This window comes from Homo sapiens, chromosome 10 (genome assembly GCF_000001405.40).
Source record: "Homo sapiens chromosome 10, GRCh38.p14 Primary Assembly".
Lineage (NCBI taxonomy): Eukaryota > Metazoa > Chordata > Mammalia > Primates > Hominidae > Homo > Homo sapiens.
In genome coordinates this window covers 12,204,361-12,228,376 of record NC_000010.11, presented here as the reverse complement: position 1 = coordinate 12,228,376, position 24,016 = coordinate 12,204,361, and the positions used below count along the sequence as shown (strand labels likewise).

At 41.9% G+C, this 24,016-nt stretch overlaps 1 protein-coding gene across 2 annotated transcripts in view, besides 2 other annotated features; it reads right to left on the bottom strand.

The window, feature by feature from the left end:
• The window catches only part of CDC123 (cell division cycle 123), a 54,402-nt gene that overhangs the window by 22,213 nt on the left and 8,173 nt on the right, over positions 1–24,016 (bottom strand). The window contains exons 3-6 of one of the 2 annotated variants that reach the window (NM_006023.3): positions 18,353–18,410; positions 18,055–18,087; positions 12,542–12,637; positions 10,910–11,016 (exon numbers count right to left, since the gene is read on the bottom strand). In NM_006023.3, the coding sequence (NP_006014.2) occupies positions 10,910–11,016; positions 12,542–12,637; positions 18,055–18,087; positions 18,353–18,410 (294 nt within the window). The remainder of the gene's footprint in view (positions 1–10,909; positions 11,017–12,541; positions 12,638–18,054; positions 18,088–18,352; positions 18,411–24,016) is intronic. The other variant, XM_005252638.5, reaches the window with a different exon arrangement.
• Positions 802–1,735: an enhancer, noted in NCBI's record as "H3K27ac-H3K4me1 hESC enhancer chr10:12268641-12269574 (GRCh37/hg19 assembly coordinates)". NCBI's record gives its function as "activates a minimal SCP1, AML or CMV promoter by ChIP-STARR-seq in primed H9 embryonic stem cells {active_cell/tissue: H9 hESC(primed)}" and the evidence as "EXISTENCE:reporter gene assay evidence [ECO:0000049][PMID:30033119]".
• Positions 1,736–2,671: an enhancer, noted in NCBI's record as "NANOG-H3K27ac-H3K4me1 hESC enhancer chr10:12267705-12268640 (GRCh37/hg19 assembly coordinates)". NCBI's record gives its function as "activates a minimal SCP1, AML or CMV promoter by ChIP-STARR-seq in primed H9 embryonic stem cells {active_cell/tissue: H9 hESC(primed)}" and the evidence as "EXISTENCE:reporter gene assay evidence [ECO:0000049][PMID:30033119]".

Genomic DNA, 24,016 nt, shown 5'->3' with positions numbered 1-24,016 from the left:
AAATCTCTTATTTCAAATCAAACTAACTTAACAGTACATTATCTTGAGGACTAATAATCTAAAACTAGAAAACTAGCTTTCGATTAAAAATTATTTTAATAATAATTAAGCTTAACAGTTATTTTACGTCAATAAAAATTAAGGACTGGGCACAGGGCTCACACCTGTAATCCCAACACTTTGGAAGGCTGAGGTGGGAAGACTGCCTAAAGCCAGGAGTTTGAGACCAGCCTGGGCAACAAAGCTAGGTCCCGCCTCTAAAAAAAATATAAAAATTAGCCGGTACGGAGGCTCAAGCCTGTCATCCCAGCTACTCAGAAGGCTGAGGCGGGAAGATCACTTGAGCTCCGGAGTTTGAGGCTGCAGTAAGCTATGATCACACCATTGCACTCTAGCCCAGAGTGAGATCCTGCCTCAAAAATTAAGGTCATGAACTCTCACAAGTTAATAAAAATTAACTAATTATTTTTATCCTTTAAAAAACTGCCCTTTCGCCCCCAAGGATCAGCATATTGATAAGTACTACATGTATCTAGAGCTTTCCTCTATACGTTTTCTATTATTTAAGAAAATTATTTTTGGACTGGGTGCGGTGACTCACGCCTGTAATCCCAGCACTTTGGGAGGCTGAGGTGGGCGGATCACGAGGTCAGGAGTTTGAGACCAGCTTGGCCGACATGATGAAACCCCATCTCTACCAAAAATACAAAAATTAGCTGGGCATGGTGGCACATGCCTGTAAGCTCAGCTACTTGGGAGGCTGAGGCACGAGAATCCCTTGAACCCAGGAGTTGAAGGTTGCAGTGATCTGAGATCGTGACACTGCACTCCAGCCTGGGCAATAGAGTGAGACTCTGTCTCATAAAGAAAAAAAAAAAAGACAGAAAATTACTTTTGTACACATATCCAGTATAGAGCCAAATGAATATTTTAGATTAGATAATCTACATAAGGAGAAAAGGAAAACGTTCCAATGAATGTAAGAGAACAATAGACCAGAGGTTAAAAATCACAATCAGGACCTTGGGCTCCGTACTAGTATTTTATGGTCTTAGAAAAGTCAATTATTCCTCCCCTCCCCCTCCCCCTCCCCCTCTCCCCATGGTCTATCTCTCCCTCTCCCTCTCTCTCCACGGTCTCCCTCTGATGCCGAGCAGAGGCTGGACTGTAGTGCCGCCATCTCGGCTCACTGCAACCTCCCTGCCTGATTCTCCTGCTTCAGCCTGCCGAGTGCCTGGGATTGCAGGCGCACGCCGCCACGCCTGACTGGTTTTCGTATTTTTTTGGTGGAGACAGGGTTTTGCCGTGTTGGTGGGGCTGGTCTCCAGCTCCTAACCGCGAGTGATCTGCTAGCCTCGGCCTCCCAAAGTGCCGGGATTGCAGACGGAGTCTCGCTCACTCAGTGCTCAATGTTGCCCAGGCTGGAGTGCAGTGGTGTGATCTCGGCTCGCTACAACCTCCACCTCCCAGCCGCCTGCCTTCGCCTCCCAAAGTGCCGAGATTGCAGCCTCTGCCCAGCCGCCACCCCGTCTGGGAAGCAAGGAGCGTCTCTGCCTGGCCGCCCATCGTCTGGGATGTGAGGAGCCCCTCTGCCTGGCCGCCCAGTCTGGGAAGTGAGGAGCACCTCTTCCCGGCCGCCATCCCGTCTAGGAAATGGGGAGCGTCTCTGCCCAGCCACCCATCGTCTGAGATGTGGGGAGCGCCTCTGCCCCGCAGCCCATCGTCTGGGATGTGAGGAGCGCCTCTGCCCCGCCGCCCCGTCTGGGATGTGAGGAGCGCCTCTGCCCAGCCGCGACGCTGTCTGGGAACTGAGGAGTGTCTCTGCCCAACCTCCACCCCGTCTGGGAGGTGAGGAGCCTCTCTGCCCGGCCGCCCCGTCTGAGAAGTGAGGAGCCCCTCCGCCCAGCAGCCGCCCCGTCTGGGAAGTGAGGAGCGTCTCCACCCAGCAGCTGCCCCCTCCAGGAGGTGGGGGAGAGCCCCCACCCGGCCAGCCGCCCCATCTGGGAGGGAGGTGGGGGGCAGCCCCCGCCCGGCCAGCCGCCCCGTCCAGGAGGGAGGTGGGGGGCGCCTCTGCCCAGCCGCCACGCCGTCTGGGAGGTGTACCCAACAGCTCATTGAGAACGGGCCATGATGACGATGGCGGTTTTGTTGAGTGGAAGGGGGGGAAGTGTGGGGAAAGGAAAGAGAAATCAGATTGTTGCTGTGTCTGTGTAGAAAGAAGTAGACATGGGAGACTCCATTTTGTTCTGTACTAAGAAAAATTCTTCTGCCTTGGGATGCTGTTAATCTATAACCTTACCCCCAACCCCGTGCTCTCTGAAACATGTGCTGTGTCCACGAAGGGTTAAATGGATTAAGGGCGGTGCAAGATGTGCTTTGTTAAACAGATGCTTGAAGGCAGCATGCTCCTTAAGAGTCATCACCACTCCCTAATCTCAAGTACCCAGGGACACAAACACTGCAGAAGGCCGCAGGGTCCTCTGCCTAGGAAAACCAGAGACCCTTGTTCACATGTTTATCTGCTTACCTTCCCTCCACTATTGTCCTATGACCCTGCCAAATCCCCCTCTCTGAGAAACACCCAAGAATGATCAATAAATACTAAAAAAAAAAAAAAAAAAAAAAAAAAAGAGAGAAGCTAGAAAAAAAAAAGAGAAAAGTCAATTATTTTTTGGGACTGGCTCATAGTTGCCTCAGCAGTAAATGGCAGATGGTATTGGGTGATTTCTAAAGTTCATTATGCAATCAAATCTGTAGACAACTTGTCAGGCCCGCTTTTTCTTCCCTGTCTTTATATTCAGTTAACTACTTACTGCACGCTGAACCTCAGGGTGTGTCAGAGCTTCTAGAACACAGGTTTGAAAATGAGAGAGTGGAATGAGATGATTTTTCAAAATACTTCCCCAGAGATTCCAATCCAAAGTGTCCAAGATGGGGACTAGACACATATTTTCTTTTCTTTTATTCATTTATTTATTTTTTTGAGACAGAGTCTCACTCCGTGGCCAGGCTGGAGCGCAGTGGCACGATCTTGGCTCACTGCAACCTCCGTCTCCCGGGCTCAAGCAATTCTCCTGCCTCAGCCTCCCAAGTAGCTGGGATTACAGGCGTGTGCCACCAAGCCCAGCTAATTTTTGTATTTTTAGTAGAGATGGGGTTTCATCGAGTTGGTCAGGCTGGTCTCAAACTCCCGACCTTAGGTAATCCACCTGCCTCGGCCTCCCAAAGTGCTGGGATTACAGATGTGAGCCACCGCACCCAGCCCATATTTTAGAAATCATTATTCTGAGGAGTAGCTGCAGTTCAAGCTCTGTAAGGGGTTCTTGGGAAAAGCGCCAGGATATGCCTGTCCACCAACTACAGGCCTCAGCAGGAAGTCTGCACCATTCTTGGGGAAAGGAAGAAATAGGGAAAAGGAAGGAAGCATCAAACTGGAGCAGCTCGGACCCCAAGCATAGCCTTCAGGGCCGCAGCTTCAGCTAGAAAACTCAGTCTGGCTACCCTAAATCCCACCAAGGTCACTGGAGGACTCAGCACATTTCCCACGACAAAAAGGCTCCGTCTCAAGAAAAAACAAAAACAAAAACAAAAAAACCACCACCACCACAAAATATTCCCCAAATTTTTTTCCTGGGTTACTATTTAACATTAATTTGGAAGATTTCTTCAACTGAAATTTTCAACAAAGTACCAAAAGAACGTGGTATTCAACTACAGTCACTAATTTGTAGTCTAAGCTGAAAGGAGGCTCTTATGTTGAATTCAAAGTTCAAATTCTTGGCAGAATAATTATAGTCCCTCTAGCAAGCTATGAAAATTCTAAAATAAACACAAATGTGATTAAGTAATAAATGTTACATTATTTACAATGTAAGTGGCAAACTAAAAGAATTCTCAGGTATAATAATAGCAAAGATTTTATTCCAAAGAAAAAAAAAGCAAAATCCCAAAGGCCTACTTTGATGAAAGCTACTATGAAATTATGCCAGCATATTTTTACTACACTTTAATATTTGCCAGTTAACAGGAATTTTGGAAAGCAATGTTATAGACACAAATTTTTAGAAAGGAAAGAAAAAAAAAAAGAAAGGAAAAGAAAAAATATTCTATCCCCAAACTAAAGAAATATGCTTAACTAGTACTGATGACTAATCAGATGTCTTTTTTTTTTTTTTAAGGAACAAAATAATGGCATTTGCAGCAACCTGGATGGAACTGGAGACTATTATTCCAAGTGAAGTAACGCAGGAACGGAAAACCAAACATCGTATGTTCTCACTTGTAAGTGGGAGCTAAGCTATGAAGACGCAAAGGCATAAAAATGATACACTGGACTTCTGGGACTCAGGGGAAAGGGTGAGGGTTGGCGAGGGATAAAAGACTACACGTTGGGTACAGTGTACACTGCTCAGGTGATGGGTGCACCAAAAGCTCAGAAATCACCACTAAAGAATGTACCCATGTAACCAAACACCACCTGTTCCCCCAAACCTACTGAAATAAAAAAATAAAAATACAGGGGGAAATACATAGTGTACGTCAATGACAGATAATTACACATCCCTTGTCTTTACTCAGAAGCAAAATAAACACTGAAATAATTTTACCAAAAAAAAATAAAAGGAGTGCCACATTTTTTTATTTTATTACTACCCAAATCATCCTCAGCTCAAAGAAGACTTAGCTTTTCTGCCAGCCAAATGGCCTTACTATAAATAGGTATATTTATTATGCCCTAAACATGCCTTGGGACTGACATGCTATTTTTTGTGGACTTCATAATTATAATTAGGCCCGGTGTAGTGGCTCATGCCTATAATCCCAGCACTCTGGGAGGCCGAGGCAGGTGGATCACTTGAGGTCAGGAGTTCAAGACCAGCCTGGCCAACATGGTGAGACCCTGTCTCTACTAAAAATACAAAAATTATCCAGGCGTGGTGGCGTGCGCCTACAGTCCCAGCTACTTGGGAGGCTGAGGCAGGACAACTGCTTGAACCTGGGAGGCAGCGGTTGCAGTGAGCCAAGATCATGCCATTGGACTCCAGCCTGGGTGACAGAGCGAGACTCTGTCTCAAGAAAAAAATAAAAATAAAATAAAATACATAAACGAATAATAATTATAATCAACACACCGTTTCTCTCGTGCTGTTCCAAATATTTTGCACACTGAAAGATGACAAATGGGCCAGGCACACTGGCTCAAGCCTGTAATCCCAGCACTTCGGGAGACCAAGGTGGGCGGATCATGAGGTCAGGAGATTGAGACCATCCTGGCTAATACGGTGAAACCCCGTCTCTACTAAAAATACAAAAAAAAATTAGCCAGGCATGGTGGCAGGCGCCTGTAGTCCCAGCTACTCGGGAGGCTGAGGCAGGAGAATGGCGTGAACCCGGGAGGCGGAGCTTGCAGTGAGCCACGATCACGCCACTGCACTCCAGCCTGGGCAACAGAGCGAGACTCCGTCTCAAAAAAAAAAAAAAGAGGACAAATGTAACATATCCAGTGATGAGCATGTCGGTCTGGGACTGTGGGAGGCAGAGGGTGCAGTGAGCCAAGATCGCATCATTGCATTTCAGCCTGGGTGACAGAGTGAGACTCTATCTTGAAAAAATTTTAAAAAAAAATTACTAAGACAAATCAAATTCCCTGACCTGCAGTCAAATGTATTTCTCCTTCATCATGAGCCCCTCAGAGAAACAATTAACAAATTTATTTTTTCACTCAGCCCTTTTTTCTAAATGCCAATTGAGTATCAAAATGTTTTCTTGTCTACTCAGCCCACTGAAGTGACAATAAAATAATGAAAGCAGCCTGTGACTCAGCAAGTTTAATAACATAGAATGTTTATATCTTGGCAAATAACACAGTCAGCAAATTTATGTGTGTCATATTTCTTTCTTTCTCTCTTTTTTGTATTTTTAGTAGAGTCAGGGTTTCACCATGTTGGCCAGGCTGGTCTCGAACTCCTGACCTCGTGATCCACCCACCTCAGCCTCCCAAAGTGCTGGGATTACAGGCGTGAGCCACCGCGCCCGGCCACATGTCATATGTCAACCTCCACTTTTTAAAGCTTTTTGTCTACAGTAACCATTTGAAGAACAGGAAAGAAAAAAGCAGTATTTTCTAGAGTACATTATAGGCAGGGAGACAGCACTAGCTGTCTACCCTCCAGGATTCCCATCTTCAGCCTGTCCAATGGAACCTGGATTGTTCAGATGCTGGGAGCATTTGTGCTTCCTGGTTCCCTCTCTAATCATTGAGATGCATGTGCTGACTCATCTAAGCAGCCACCAAGGCGTGGGCCTGGACCAGCGGATCCACATTGCCTGGGAACAGGTTAGAAATGATCTGCTTAGGCCCCCTCCAGGCCTGCTGGACCAGAAACCCTGGAGCCCAGGAACCTGTGTTTCATCTAACTCTCTGGATAACCCTGACGCATGCTTGTGTCGAGAACCTTGGTCTAACCAGGGGTGTCCAAACTTTTAGCTTCCCTGGGAAACATTAGAGGAAGAATTGTCTTGGGCCACATATAAAATACACTAACACTAATGATAGCTGATGAGCTAAAAAATAAGTAAATAAAAAATAAATAAATAAATAAATTTTAATAAAATTTATTTAAAAAATAAATTTAATAAATGAAATTTTAATAAATAAATAAATACAAATTAAAAAAATAAAAATCTCAAAAAAAATCTTACGATGTTTGAAAGTTTATGAATTTGTGTTGTGGCACATTCAAAGCCATCCCGGGCCATGGCCCACGGGCTGCTGCAGCTTGGACAAGCTTGATCTAAACGAATCACAGCAATTCTGCTCCCTTTGCCAACTACTGGATTAGGCTGGGTAACTGTGACCAATGAGGGCTGAGAGGAAGTCTCCCAGGAGGCCTCCAGGAATGCTTTACTCGTTCACATACAGAAAAGAACAAGAGGAAACAACCTATCCCTCCTGTTTCTGGTTGAGATATGGTCATGTCTTCATATGACAGATACTTGGAACTGTAGCAGCAATCTTTTAACCATTAGGTGAGAAACCCAAAGACCGAGCCACTAAGTCAAGGATGGTGGAAGGAAAGGGCCTGAAAGAGCCCTGGCGACCTTGGTGAGCCACTGAGCATTCCTAAAAATACCCAATCTCCAGGCTCCTCGTTAAATAATGTATTTTTTAAATCCCATGTGTAAGCTATTTTCGGCTTCTGTTAACTTGCAATTCTGACTGTAACATTTTTTTTTTGTCAAGTCAAGCCTCAAAATAGTATAAACAACATAATCTCATTTTTATGTTATATAAATTTATACATATTATATATAACTGTATTATATTAAATGTTCTATTATATAATATTTTAATGGGAAGTATTTTGGAAAGAATGAATCTATAACTTTTTTTTTTTTTTGAGACAAAGTCTCGCTCTGTCGCCCAGGCTGAAGTGCAGTGGCGCGATCTCAGCTCACTGCAAGCTCCGCCTCCCGGGTTCACGCCATTCTCCTGCCTCAGCCTCCCGAGTAGCTAGGACTGCAGGCGCCCGCCACCACGCCCGGCTAATTTTTTGTATTTTCAGTAGAGACGGGGTTTCACCGTGTTAGCCAGGATGATCTGGATCTCCTGACCTCATGATCCGCCCACCTCGGCCTCCCAAAGTGCTGGGATTACAGGCATGAGCCACCACACCCAGCATTTAATCTTTTAAGAGCTCTTCAAGGCCTTTGTGACAAACATTCATCTTTACTGAGTTCTATCAATAAGGAATTTTTATGTGATGGCAACACTTCCTGTTATGCAACCGATTAATTGCTAAGCAACTACCAACAGTTACTTCTAGACAAAGTGACACGTTAGTAGCGCCCAGCTAAAAGGCTGAAAGCCCAGTGCTTGGCATTTGCTCCTGCCAATTCCCAATTATTTATAATAGCAGAAGGATGGCATTTTGTGGGTAAACACTCTAAATCCAAGACCTCAAACTCACTTGCTGATTTAACTTCCTTGCCATGCAAAAGTCAAAAAGTACAAAATGCAAAACAACAGACTATTATTCATACCATCCACTGGAACATCAGTTAAACGAAGATAAAAAGCAAGACGTAGCTTAAGAGGAGGCAGCTGATCATTAAATTGCAAAGCTGATTTAAAAAAAACATCAGCCTCAGAATTAAAAGCAATTTATAGTTAGTTCTGGAAAGGCAAAAGTGTCTTCCCACACTCACTGCAACTGACACTAAAGGCATATAAAAATCCTTATAAGGGCCAGGCACAGTGGCTCACGCTTGTAATCCCAGCACTTCAGGAAGCCAAGGCGGGCGGATCACGAGATCAGGAGTTCAAGACCAGCCTGACCAACAAGGTGAATCCGCTTCTCTACTAAAAATACAAAAATTAGTTGGGCATGGCCGGGTGCGGTGGCCCACGCCTGTAATTCCAGCACTTTGGGAGGCCTAGGCAGGCGGATCACGAGGTGAGGAGATGGAGACCATCCTGGCTAACGTGGTGAAACACCGTCTTTACTAAAAATACAAAAAAAAATTAGCTGGGCGTGGTAGCCATGCGCCTGTAATCCCAGCTACTTGGGAGGCTGAGGCAGAAGAACTGCTTCAACCCAGGAGGCGGAGGTTGCAGTGAGCCAAGATTGCACCACTGCACTCCAGCCTGGGCGACAGAGTGAGACTCCGTCAAAAAAAAAAAAAACCATTATCAGTTGAATTATCAAGTAGACAGCATTTTCAGTGTAACATATTTTAAGACCTCTTAAAGCATTAGATGTCAAAAAGCTTTACAATGGAAAAAAGAGCCACAACTTTGTTCTATTTTTCAGAGGGTATCTCCTAGAATGAAAATACTACTGGTTACTAAAACAGGCTACCAACACCTGTGCCAACACAACCAGAGGGTTGACAATTAAATGTCAAAACAATACTTGCTCAGGCACAGAAGGATCACTTGAGACCAGGAGTTTGAGACCAGCTTGGGCAACATAGTGAGACCCCATCTCTATTAAACACACACACACAGACACAGACACACAGACACACACCACACACACACACTTTTTTCTATAAAACTAGAAATACCAATACAAGTAAAATCCTTATACAATAAACATGTAATACGATGTAACACAACCACACTCACTGATTACTTAACTTCCCTTTCTTGAATTAATATAATACTACAACCTTATGTCCAAGCTGCAGAGCTCACACGCCAGAGTTGATGCACGACCGACACGTAGTGAACTTAAGTTATTCATGCCACGATCCACTTCAAAAAAAGGATTTGAGTCTGACATGGAACGAACTGGCAGGACAAACTCAACTGGACAGGGCGGAAGTGGCATGCTTATGCAAGATTTTCACTCTCATGCTCCTGCTTCTAGGTTCTGGGATATGCTTTAAAGACCAGTTTAAAGATGAGTTTACCTGAGATAACTGGTCTGTTTAAGATGCAACAGGAAGAAAAACCTAGAAAAATAGCTGCTATTTGAAGACAACAAAAGAAGCATAAAGAGAGCACCTGCGGCTCAGCAGGGCAGGTATTCCGTCCACCTACAACGCTGACTGCACTGTCAAATTCTTTAGCTATAGAGTGACTGGCAAAAGGAAAGAAATACAGCAATTCCACTTCTAGAAACTTATCCTAAGGAGAAAATTAGGGGAGTGCACAAAGAGTTAGCTCAAGGATATTCATTGCAGCTCTGGAAGAACAGAGGGTAGGTCAAATATGTCATGGTACAGCTCTCCAGAGGCGCAGCACTAAGGGAATGGAAAATAATGAATTTAGACACGCAATGATGTCACACTGGTAAGTGCAAAAGCAGCCCACTAAGAAATATAAACCACAGGCTTGGCGTGGTGGCTCACACCTGTAAGCCTAACACGTTGGGAGGCCAAGGCAGGCAGATCACAAGGTCAGGAGTTCGAGACCAGCCTGGCCAATATGGTGAAACCCTGCCTCTACTAAAAATATAAAAAATTAGCCGGGTGTGGTGGTGCATGCCTGTAGTCCCGGCTACTTGGGAGGCTGAGGCAAGAGAATCGCTTGAACCCAGAGGTTGCACTGAGCTGAGATCGTGCCACTGCACTCCAGCCTGGGAGACAGAGTGAGACCCTGCCTCAAAAAAAAAAAAAAAAAGAAAAAAAAAGAAATACAAACTATAGGATCCCATTAAAAAAATCTGTATATAGGTAGAGATAGATGTATTTATATTATATTTATCTATAGATAGAATTCTAGAAATATAATAACCAATTGTGGCAAGATCATGAGTGCTTTTGTTTTTGTTTGTTTTGAGATGGAGTCTCGCTCTGTCGCCCAGGCTACAGTGCAGTGGCACGCAATCTCGGCTCACTACAAACTCCGCCTCCCGGGTTCAAGCCATTCTCCTGCCTCAGCCTCCCGAGTAGCTGAGACTATAGGCACGTGCCACCACGCCCGGCTAATTTTTTGTATTTTTAGTAGAGACGGGGATTCACTATATTGGCCAGGCTGGTCTTGAACTCCTGACCTCAGGTGATCCACCTGTCTTGGCCTCCCAAAGTGCTGGGAATCCCAGGCGTGAGCCACCGCGCCCGGCCATGAGAGCTTTTATATTTCCTGTTTTTATTTAGCTGTAATCCCTAATTTTGCTTTTCTATGATAAATATTTATCAGTTTTATAATAGAAAAAAAATTACTGAAATGTTTAATGGGCAGAGACGCAGGAAGTCCTTAACATTTTCAGATATTCATTATACACCATTTTCTATAAAGGGAAAAGAAAGATTTGCTTTAACAGGTCATTTTGGCAATATGAAATAGCTTTGTTATATGGAGCTATGATTTATAATAGTACTATAAGTAATGGAATTTCATCTATAGAGAAATTTGCACAAATACTGAAACTATTGACATGAGAGAATAAGAGATACTTACGGCTGAGTGAAGTCACGAGTGATGAAATCGGAACTCTTGAAAAGCAGAAAGATGTCGCTGAGGGTTTTACATTTCAGAGAACTATTCATTGCTATCCAATACGCATCCTAAAGAATGAAGCACATGCTATTTAGTCCATATTCCATGTTGGCTGCTATGAATGCTCAGGCCTATAACAAAATCAATAATGCATATCACTTCAAGGGTTTAAGGAAGAAAGTCAAGTAAATTTAAGCAGTACTGTCAAATGTTAAATTATGCTTAACAACAAAAAGCGTCACCACTGCATTTCAGACACTTGGTTATGAACACTGAGATGTCAGGGTCCTCACATTTCAGCCCAGGCCTAAGTACTTCCCAGTGTTTTTCTTACTGATAATAGAAGAGAAGAAAATGAGGTATCAGAAACATCGACATTTTGGCTACAAGATTAAGGTAGTAAAGAAATAGCCTGACCAGCTACTCTCCAAGAAAAGAGAGATCAATTTCCACTCTTCCCGTTTCTGGGGAGTGGCAGCCAAACACTTGAACTTTGGCGGCTGGAGCAGTTACACCCCACGTCTATCAAATCTGAAAGAGAAGGAGGTGAGCTATTCTGAACCACTACAACTTTAAATGGTGAATGTCTCATACATAAGAACAAAAGATGGGAAGGCAAATGCAAAGCAGGCACAAAGCTCAGTGGAACATGCCTAAAAATTACAGAATAATTAAGTCATTTAAAAAATACAACTCTCCCACAGACAGATCAGACACAGGATATAACAGAATTTTGAGAAAACTAACAGTTGCAAACCACTATCCAGTTATCCACACTACATGGAAGAAAAGTACTAAAATATTTGAAAACAGCTACCTCTGGGGAGTAGGAAATGGTGAAGTAAAATAGGTGTCAAGACCTGCTGATTTTCATGGCAAGCTTCCAAATCTATTTGAAATTTTAAATTCTGTACATGTAGAGTATAATTAATTTTTAGAAGTAAAAACAAAAAAGAAAAAATAATAAAAGTAAAAACAAAACTTAGATTAAGTACAAATTATCATTCATTTTAGAATAAAAAAGGCATGAGATAACTTTTGAAATTACAAATAGGTCTCTGATTCCTTAAATAAGCTTTGCTAATACAAAACTGTTTTCTATTGGATTAAAACAACTAACGGATTTTTCCACAGGCCTTAACTTTTATAAAAATCTTGTCAATGCAGTATTAAAATAATAAGACACAATTTAAGAAAAGATCAGTTGACTTCTCCAACCACTCTATTTCTATAGCCTATGACACTATTACTTTTTTTATTTTTATTACTTTTCAACAAAGAAAAATTTCTCTGTTAAACTGAACAGCTGAAGTTTTGAAAAGGGCAGAGTATGAATTTCCTCAGAATTCAAAAACAATCAGCAACACAAGACGTGGAAACTACCTTTTGGCAGAATATACAGTATTTCACAGACCCAGGCAAGTGTATAGCAAAATCCGGAAAGTAAAACAGTAGAGGGAAATTAATAATAAATTCCACAGTATTTTTCCTAGAATTAGGAATATAATTAGACCCTCTGTAGGGATATGAAATGAAATAAACAGCAAAACAAAGAATATTCAAACAGTAAGAGAATTACTTATGTGTTCCTACCCTTGGGGCACTCCAATTAAGCTTAGGAAAGACACTGCCCCCGAGGGAATTGATAGCTTCCTGGACTTTAGTGGCAAACTCAGGAAATTCTGGTGCCTACAGAGAGAGAAGAAATCATTGGGCACGTCAATATCATCACAGTATATATATAAAACAAGATCAAAATCTCAAGGTTATAGTTTAGGGTGTTAAAAACAGAATTTAGAATACAAATTACTATCAGAATTTCTGAACCCAGCTAAATAAAATCAGTGATAAAGTACATTTACCAAAAAGAGAAATAAAATAATCAGCTGCTTAAATGGCATTTTCCAGACAATCAAAGCCTGCAAAGCTGAAATGACACAAGTCACTAGGCTTCTGAGGATGTGAGGAAGGAGTGAATGGTTCTCTGTACACCGACATAAAACCAGCATTCATCAAGAGAAAATAGACAGGTGGAATATCACCTGTAGCAATACTCTAGTTGTCAGAAATAACATCCCTACTTGAAGAGCTAGAAGCCCTTCCACTTGCAGGAAGAGTCTTAGCCATATGGTATTCCCCAAAGCCACGGAGAGAATGAAAAATAAATGATGTGGCAAACTGTATTTAAACACTGCTATTTCCAGACAAGTTTTAAAACAAGCAAAACTCAAAATGTGAACCTTAGTCAAGGTAAAACGTTCTTTCCTGTTTGGATGATTTTTAAAATGCATATTTTATATAAGCTAGTGACCAAAACGTTCTGTGTTTGTTTCGACCCGGAAGTGAATAGAAATACTGCTGTTAAACAGGAACTTAAGCCTGATGTCATTATGTCCTGCCTTGAGCCTAGGTCACTATCACAGGAGCTTATGGACATAAGAAAGAAAAAAAGGTAAGTAAGAGAGGGGGAAGTAGGGCCCTCAAGAGACATAAAAAAACAAAAACATTAACAGATTCTCCACGCAGTCATTAATTTTCATTTATACCCTGTAAAGAGGATTGCTGCCCCCTATCGGGCAACTATAAGTTCTGAAAAAATCCAGTAATCAACTTCTTCCCTAGGAAAAAAAAAAGACAGACTACATCTTGAATTAACTAAACTACACATTCCAAGATGACATCAAATAGTTATGTGGATCCCCAAGATCTAACCCAGCTATGCGAGAGAAAAAACTGTGACAAGAGTCTGAGAAAAGACCAAAGAAATGAGTTTTAAAACATGGTCATATATCCCCCAAAACAAGAAACAGCTTTGAGCAAAAGGCTAGGGAATAAAAACGAGAGCTTAAGGTCCAATTAGGCTGCCTTTCTTTCTGTTACAGATAAATCTGACCTCTAGACTGGTTAATAACTATCTATCTTCCACTAGACGACTTCAGCTTAGATACATGAAATGAGACTAGAGTAATTTAGAGAGGTTTTCAAAATGAACAGCAGCACTGAGTCCTTTATTTTCCATTCATCTCTCCCCATCCAAAGCAATTATGATTTATGTGAGGGCATTTCCTTATAATTGCCTGAAGCGGCTGACTTGGCTCCCCTACCGCTCTAGCCATAAACCCCACTTCTGTGAGATGGGCACTGGCAGTATTTCCTATGAACGGCATTGTTGCACAAACTTTACAACGGGAAAGAATTCAACTTTCAAAGACAAAGCAATTTAATTTTCCTATCCCATAAAGCTTGACATCTAAGGATTACTTTTCATGTATGCCTTTTAAAAGATGTGATCAGTCCCCTCAAATCCTCAAAATTATTCAACTTTAGGATAACCTGCCATAAGAATCCTAAAACAAATTTAAATTATAAAAAGTTTATGCACAGTCTTAAGTGGAAGACTATGTACTGTTTACATACAGCACAACCTTCTAGGTTATCTGTTTTTAGCCAGGTCTGTGAGCTACTTTACAACTTGGCAAATTCTAGGTAAGTGATAGTGACATGAACTAATTCTTACGGACAGGCAATTTCTATCTCATCTGGAAGAGGTCCAATTGTCTTTTCTCCCATACTGCAGGGAGGCAAAACCAGTTTTGCCTCATTTACATACTCATTTCAATATTCCTGATCTAAAAATATATCTTTTCTTTGGATTCTCTTTTGAACCAGTTCTAACAATCTGTCTGGTTCCCTCATGAGTTAAATAACATCTTCAACACGCATTAAAGAGTTTTATATGAGTCATGATTTTACCATTTTCTATAAATTATCTATCAAAATCACGGAACTAACACTGACACAATACAGATCTTATTCAAAATTTGCCAAGTGTCCTAGTAACGTCTTCTACAGAAAAAAAAAAAACTGAAACTTTTTTTCTGGTCCAGGCATCCAGTCTAGCCAGAATCATGGACTAAATCTAGTTGTCAGGTCCCTTTAATCTTCTTCAATCTGTGGCAGTTCCTCTCTCTGTTGTTCTTACCATTTATGACCTTGACGTTTTTGAAAAGTTCAGGGCAACTACTCTATACAATTTCTAAAAGTTGAGTCTGTTGGATGTCTCCTCCCAAGCAGACTCAGGCTGCGCAGCTGTGACAGGTGGTGTCCTTCCCATGCATCGTATCAGGAGGCACACATGACAGGTCTGTCCCATCACTGACAAGGTTAATACTGATCACTTGGCTGCCAGGTCTTTGCATTGTAACATTACTATTTTTCTTTGCGCAAACAGTAAGTAATTTGGGTGAAGATACTTAGAAAAGATGGAACTATCCTCTTTCTCACTGTATATTCACCCACTAATTTTAGCATCTATTCAATCAAATATTATTACAATGGTTGCCAAATAGTAATTCCTAATTCCATCATTCCTACTACATGTATTAGTTAGTGCCTTTAGTACTATAAAGACAAGCTTCCTTTTTTCCCCACTTATTTAATCACTTATGTATGTCACTATGGGATCAGCAATTCTTATTTTAGTCAATAGGTCATAACCTATTCTTATACTTCACATAGAGTATCCCTTATCCAAAATGGGTAAGACCAGAAGTGTTTTGGATTTCAGAATATTTGCATATACATAATGGGGATGGGACCCAAATCTAAACACAAAAGTCATTTACGTTTCATATACACCTTATGCACACGGCCTGAAGGTAATTTCATTTTTCCCTTGGGGAGGCTGAATGAGCTGGGTTGTGCACCTGCATTGTGGCTGTACCTGTCACATGAGGTCAGGTGTGGAATTTTCCACTTGTGGTGTCATGTTAGTGCTCGTAAAGTTTTGGGAGCTAAGCATGCTGGCACACACCTGCAGTACCTGCTACTCAGGAAGCTGAAGCAGAAGGATCACTTGAGCCCAGAAGTTTGAGTGCAGCCTGGGCAACACAGTGATAGTCAGTCTTTTTAAAAAGTTTTGGAATTTGGAGCATTTTCAATTTTGAATTTGGGGATTAAGAATACTCAAACTCTATTTGTTATGATGCTCATATTTTTAGACAGTGAGAGCCCAAAGCTAGCTTCTGGCATCTTTTTGTCATGTCACATCATTGTTTCAGCACTTCCACAGTTTCTGGCACAAGTTGTTGCAGGCTCATTTTTACTTTCCCAATCCCAGTCCAGAATATCTCCAAGAAGCTTCAATTTTGTTTAGTGGAGAATGGTATTTAGAAACCAAGATCAAGGCATCAGGCGTGCTCACTGCTACCAGGATGTTACATGTCATTGATTCTAAAACTTCTTAGTGAGCAGAGTTTGGTAAATACACACACACACCTTTATATTATTAATTGCTGTATCTATCATCTATACATATTTATTTTATTTTATTTTATTTTTTGAGACGGAGTCTCTCTCTGTCACCCAGGCTGGAGTGCAGTGGCGCAATCTTGGTTCACTGCAACCTCCACCTCCTGGGTTCAAGCAATTCTCCTGCCTCAGCCTCCCAAGTAGCCGGTATTACAGGCGTCTACCACCATGCCTGGCTAGCTTTTTGTGTTTTTAGTAGAGACGGGGTTTCACCATGTTGGTCCTCAAGTAATCCACCCACCTTGGCCTCCCAAAGTGCTGGAATTACAGGCATCGGCCACCGCGCCAGGCCCATCTATACATATTTAAAAATGAGTTGATACTGATACTCCCCACCACTATTAAAATCCAGGTCAGATACCACTTGTCCTGTCAGGCATTCTGGTGCCCTCAGCTGTAACTGCTGTCTCTGATCTGACAGCACTGTCATCTCCCCCTGCCTGTGTCACCTTTCCCACTGGTTTACAAACCCCTAATGGTGGAAATGAAATCATATTCATCTTTGTTCATCTCACGGAATCTAGTTTAGTGCCCTGAGTATGGCAGATAAGTAACATTTACATGACACTGAATGGAATTTTCATAAAAGGAGAGTGATCTGAATGGCATCTGGAGTAAATGAAACACGCAAACTTTCCACTTAGGCACCTGCTGGCAGGCTTCCCTTTTTAAATCTAAAGAAATATGTCAGTTTTGAGCAGCTCCACTTCTTTTTTTTTCTTCTATCCTGGCAATCATATCTTGTTCATTAAAATAAACAAGTATCTTCTTATCTAGAGCTGGATTAGAACAGACCCTCCCACAAAACTAGTTTTCTGTATTTCTGCCTTTACATTTACTTGTAAGGAGTTTCACTAAAAACTTTCCCGTCAACTCAAGGTATGAGGAGTTTCATTCACCTATTTTTAGAAATAGATCATTTGCTTCACTCACTCCTTTAAAAATACCTTCATTTAAAAAATTTTAGGTTAACTTTCACAACAGCACTCTTATCCTGAAACACTGTAATATGCTTGATAACTTCTACATTTTTATGTAAAACACTGGTAAAAGTCACATACCTCTCTACTCTCGCTTGAAAGAAACAGTAATTTTTATGCCATTTAAATACGCTTGAGGCCAGGTGCTGTGGCTCAGAACTGTAATCTCAGGACTTTGGGAGGCCGAGGCGGGTGTTATCACATGAGGTCAGGAGTTCGAGACTACCATGGCTAACATGGTGAAACCCTGTCACTACTAAAAATACAAAAATTAGCCGGGCATGGTGTCAGGTGACTGTAATCCCAGCTACTCAGGAGGCTGAGGCAGGAGAATAGCTTGAACCTGGGAGGCGGAGGTTGCAGTGAGCCAAGATCACACCACTGCACTCCTGCCTGGGCGACAGAGCAAGAATCTGTCTCAAAAATAAATACACAAAACAACTAACTAACTAAATAAATATACTTGAATAAGGAAATACAGATTTTCACTTTATGTTCCAGAGATTTAGGAATCTCAGAGTTTAATGTTAGGCGTAATTCCTTCTTGCAGAGAGTCAGAGCTTAACAGAAGTCAAGGCATCAAATACGCACTCGAAATATTTCCTTTGCAATCAAAGGGAAAAAGGGCAAATCATGTTTGCCTGCTAAATGATGCTTCAAGTTATTTTTCAAAATAAAAACGACAGCCCACAGGGAAAATAATATATGAGATGGTGACTGACTAGGAATTTAAGAGAGGTATGCACTTAAACCTTGACGCTAACCCTTGTGTGACAGTGTGAGGCTGTCCCCACGCTGAGTCTGCTGTGCTCTTACCGTAAGCGTGGCTGTGTTCTCATCATCAGACCACTGCATGAAAAAGAGGAAAAAAATAAAACATTAAATTTAAATACTGCACTGGGCTTCAAAAAGCAGTGCTCCATCTAAAAATTATAAATCAAACAGGAGACATCTTTTCCGGAATACAGCATATGTGAAAATATATGTCAAAGTAAGATTCTCACGTAATTTCTCATTTTATCAGATGTAAGATAAGATCTACAAGTCAGAACCATCTCAGAGATCATTTAAATTACAACAGTCTACAGAACAGATTATTTTATTTGGTACCAACCTGTATTTCTTCTGCTTCATCATCACTGTCTGGCTGAGAATGTGTTGGTGGATCATCCCTAAAAAAACACAAACAAACATCAAGAAAGAAAAGGACTTGGGCACCGCATGCTCCTAATTTCAGGGGTACTGAGTATATGTTTTTAAATAGCCTTAAAATTAGGCTAGGTGTGGTGGCTCACACCTGTAATCCTAGCACTCTGGCAGGCTGAGTGAGTGGATCGCTTGAGGTCAGGAGGTAGAGATCAGCTTGGACTACATGGCAAAACCCTGTCTCTACAAAATACACAGAAATTAGCTGGGCGAGGTGGCATGCGCCTGTAGTCCCAGCTATTTGGGGGGCTGAGGTGGGAGGACTGATCACTTGAACATGGGAGGTCGAGGCTGCAGTGAGTTAAGATCGTGCCACTGCACTCCAGCCTGGGTGACAACGTAAAACACTGTCTCAAAAATAAATAAATAAAAATAAAAGCCTTAAAATTGAAGAACAAGGCCAGTCATGGTGGCTCACACCTGTAATTTCAGCACTTTGAGAGGCTGAGATGGGAGGATTGCTTGAGCCCAGGAGTTTGAGACCAGCCTGGGTAACACAGAGACTCTGTCTTTACAAAAAAATTAAAAATTATCCAGGTGTGAAGGAGAACACCTGTGGTCACAGCTATTCAGGAAGCTGACACAGAAGGATCCCTTGAGCCCAAGAGTTTGAGGCTACAATGACCTAAGATCACACCGCTGCACTATAGCCTGGGCAAGAGAGTGAGACCCCGTCTCAAAAAAAGAAGAAATAAATAAATGAGAGTACAGTTGCATGAAGAGATGACAGAATAAAACCTTTCTGTCCTGTTCTCAGATATCATTAAAAACAAGGGAAAGGGAAAAAAAGACTCCATTGCTGATAATACTGAGAATCATCTAGACTCTGAACCTCAGTATATGAGAAAGTTCTCTCAAGAAAGGAAAGATGGAATAGGATAAAGGAAGACACCAGAAGCGAATGTCTGAAGACCTGTCTACACAGATGATGGAACTACTGTGGGGGCAAAACCAAGAATCTTTTCTTTGCACAGTGAAAACAGGGTGTGCGGGCTGGTGTCAGAAATTCATTCTGCATCTAGACTGAACCACAGCAAAGGGTGAGAGAGAGAGGGGAAAATAAACAGGCATGCTGTCTTTGAAGAAGGCAGAAGCAAAGCGAGGTGTGCAGTCCTCATTAGGGAAGAGGAGTTGGACTGGCGGGAGCAGAAGAAAGCAAAAAGACAAGGCAGATAAGCTGTAAGTCTGCCTTTCTTCATGGTCCAGGACACACAGCCCTCCTGCGCAAGTAACTCACTATCTTTCCATGCCCAGCTATTACCGCACCCTCAATTGACAGAAAAATGCAAGTGAGCTCACTGCAACCTTGGCATTATCAGCGCTGCACAAAGCCCTCTTCAGGACACAGCACAAGTACCATCTTATAAAATCCCCAGCAAGCCTCTGTCTCCCTGCAGTCAGCTCCTTTCTTGCTGACCTGCCCATTGTACCCTTGCAACATATTTTCACACTTTCTCTAATAAATTTGCCTTTCTCTGCCTCCAACTGTCATGGTAAATTCTTCTTACCACCCACACCATTGGCCCCAAATAGTCACTGCTCACCTGCAACACAAGGGCTGAAAAGGGCCACCCAGCAGCCCATCTTCATTGCCTAGAGGGAATCAGAGGCTGAAAGAACTCAGAGGGAAGACTCAGAACACCACTCTGGCCCCTCCTCAACACACAACTACAAATAACTAGCCTAGGAATAACTCATATCATTGAGAAAAATAATCATAAAAACTAGCATAGCAGCTATGCAAAGACTAAAGAAAGAAAAGGAAAAGGAAGATTCTGGTTAAACATGTGCTTTTATCTCTGTGTTCCCTCTGGAAACTCTACTAAAAAAAAGATCCCAAGGACAATGCTGAGTGAAAAGGAATCAACCATAGAAGAAAGAGGGCAACAAAAGTTTGGAAAACAGAAAGTCAAGGGGAGGAATAAGCCAAGGAGCAACAGGTTAGAACTTAAGAGTTATCCTGGAACATGGAAAGGAAGCTCTGAAGTCCATCCAGGGAGCAGCGAGACATATCCATCTCCTTACCTTGCACATCCTAGCAACTAATTCTCCTCAGCCCCTTTGGTAAGCAGATTTATTCTCTGGAAAAAATGAACTCAAGAGGGTTGAGGTACATAATGGCCCAAATGAATATGGGGGTGAAATGCTGGACCTGGACTATGATGACAAGTTATGTGAAAGTCAAACTGAACACTGCGACCCCTAGTCCCCTTCCTCCCACCCTGCTCCCACAACACAGACAGATTAAAGGATTCTTCTGGGCAGAAACTGAGCAACCCCAGAGGACACACCATTATCTGGGAATCTTCCATCAATGTTTGCTGCCTGCTGGCATCCTCAGGCATCAAGCTCCACCCAGGTACACAAAGTTTGCAAATATCTGTGTGTGTCCTCCTCACTCTTAAATATGAAGGAAGGCCTACAATGATTAGAAAACAGACAAAAAACTCCAAGATGAAAAACGTTTTCAAAAAGGAGAGAAAAAAGGGACATGGAAGAAAAAAAGACAATAAAGGGACCAGATGAAAGATATTTTTAAAAATCATTAATATCCTCGAATATAAAAGATGTCACATCCATTAAGGAAGAACAGGAGGCTATAAAAAAGGAACAGAGGAACTTGTAGACACTGAAAACATGATAGTTGAAATTTTAAAATTCAATAGAATGGAAAAATAATTACCTACAAAGTAGAACAAAAAAGACACGGAAAGAGAAAATAGAGAAGAAATAATAAAATTCAGAGAATTAAGCCAAAAGATCAAACACCAAAATAATAGGAGATCCAGAAAGAGAAGCAAGAAATTAGAGGAAATTATCAAAGATTCTTTTTTAATATCCTGAAACAGGAAAATTAAAGTCTTTAGAATGAAAGGGCTCACCAAGTACTTAACACAATAAATGGAGAAAAAATACCTTAAATGGGCAAAAATGGATACAATAATGCTTCCAATCTTTTTTTTTTTTTTTTTTTGAGATGGAGTCTCGCTCTGTTGCCCACGCTGGAGTGCAGTGGCGTGATTTCAGCTCATTGCAAGGTCTACCTCCCGGGTTCAGGCCATTCTCCTGCCTCAGCCTCCCGAGTAGCTGGGACTCCAGGCGCCCGCCACCACACCCGGCTAATTTTTTTGCATTTTTAGTAGAGATGGGGTTTCACCGTGTTGGCCAGGATGGTCTCGATCTCCTGACCTTGTGATCCGCCCTCCTTGGCCTCCTAAAGCACTGGGATTACAGGCATAAGCCACCGCATCTGACCTCATGCCCAGATAATTTTTGTATTTTTACTAGAGATGGGGTTTCGCCATGTTGGTCAGTCTGGTCTCAAACTGCTGGCCTCAGATAATCGAACCGCCTTGGCCTCCCAAAGTGCTGGGATTACAGGCATGAGCCACTGCACCCGGCCTTCCCCAAGTTTTAATCAACTCTTTGTAATTCTTGCTTTTCCAGATTCACAAAGCTAAGAACCAGTCAAAGCTAAGAACTGTTCTATAGTGGAAATACTAACACACTGTCAGCGTGTGAATCCCTGCCCAAGGGGCCAGCCTTTCTCTCTTACGTCTCTCTTTAAATGCCACATAATATTTTCAAATGCAACATTATCTTTAACATGGCTGCTTACCTAATCTTACAATATAAGATGAAATATGAAAATGTATTCTACCACTCTAAAAATCACTTACCATATTTGTTAGTATAACAACATACATTTTAAAAAACATACTTGTTATCAAGGTATTCATATAGTTCTTCAGAAATTATTGCAGTGCCTACTGTAAAGTATGACAAATTTTATTCACTGTAAAAGGTGACAATGTATAAAAATATGCAAGTTTGGCCAAGTACGGTGGCTCACGCCTGTAATCCCAGCACTTTGGGAGGCCAAGGCGGGTGGATCATGAGGTCAGGAGTTCAAGACTAGCCTGGCCAAAATAGTGAAACCCCATCTCTACTAAAAATACAAAAAAAATTAGCTGGGCGTGGTCGCAGGCACCTGTAGTCCCAGCTACTCAGGAGGCTGAGGCAAGGGAATCGCTTGAACCCGGTAGGCAGAGGTTGCAGTGGGCCAAGATCGTGCCCCTGCACTCCAGCCTAGGTGACACAGTGAGACTCTGCCTCAAAAAAAAAAAAAAAGTGAAAGTTTATTAGACTTGGCTTTCTAAGGTAACCCTCTGCATGCAGAGAACTAAATGGATAAAGTATGGTGCTAATATTTAGGATGCTATATTTTCTATATTACAACTTACACAGAGCTGGCACACCAGAGCAGTGGCTCTAGAGGCAGGCAGACAGAGTTTAAATATCTCAGTTCTGCCACTGTCAGCCAAGAACTTTGCATCAATATGCCATCTATAAAACTGGGAAAATAGCAACTACTTCACAGAATTGTGAAGAATCAAAATATGAATATGCCTAATGTATTTTATAATTGGCATCTACTGGTTGAGGATCCTATATCCAAAATGCTTGGGGTCAAAAGTGTTTGGGATTTTGGAGTATTTGCATATATATGAGATATCTTAGGGATGGGACCCAAGTCTAAACGTAAACTCCTGTTTGTTGCAGCACTGTTTACAATAGCTAAGATTTGGAAGCCACCTAAGTGCTCACCAACTGATGATGGATAAAGAAAATGTGGTACATATACACAATGGAGTACTATTCAGTCATTAAAAAAGAATGAGATCCAGTCGTTTGCAACAAAATGGATGAAACTGGAGATCATTATGTTAAGTGAAGTAAGCCAGGCACAGGAAGACAAACACCACGTTTTCACTTATCTGTGGGATCTAAAAACTAATTGAACTCATGGATATAGAGAGTAGAAAGATGGTTAGCAAAGGCTGTGAAGGGTAGTAGGGGACTGTGAGGAGGTGGGGGTTAATGAGTACCAAAAAAAGTAGAAAGAATGAATAAGACCTTTTTTTTTTTTTTTTTTTTTTGATATGGAGTCTCACTCTGTCATCCAGGCTGGAGTGCAGTGGCACGATCTCGGCTCACTGCAGCCTCCATCTTCCAGGTTCAGGTGATTCTCTTGCCTCAGCCTCCTGAGCAGCTGAGATTACAGGCGCCTGCCACCATGCCCAGCTAATTTTTGTAGTTTTAGTTGAGACGGGGTTTCACCATGTTGGGCCAGGCTGGTCTTGAACTCCTGACCTCAGGTGATCTGCCCACCTGAGCCTCCAAAAGTGCTGGAATTACAGGCATGAGCCACAGCACCCGACCACAGACCTACTACTTGACAGAACAATAGAGTGACTATAGTCAATAATAACTGTACATCTAAAAATAAAGACTGTAATTGGATTGTTTGCAACTTAATGAATAAATGCTTGAGGGGATGGACACCCCTTTCTCCACGATGTGCTAATGTCACATTGCATTCCTGGATCAAAACATCTCTTGTTCCCCATAAATATGTACACTATGTACCCACAAAAACTAAAAATTAAAAAATTTAAAAAAATCATTTATGTGTCAGTGTCACATACATCTTATACACATGGCTCAAAGGTAATTTTATACAATATTCAGAAAGCAAAAATGTCACTATCTCAGCACCCATCTGGACAGA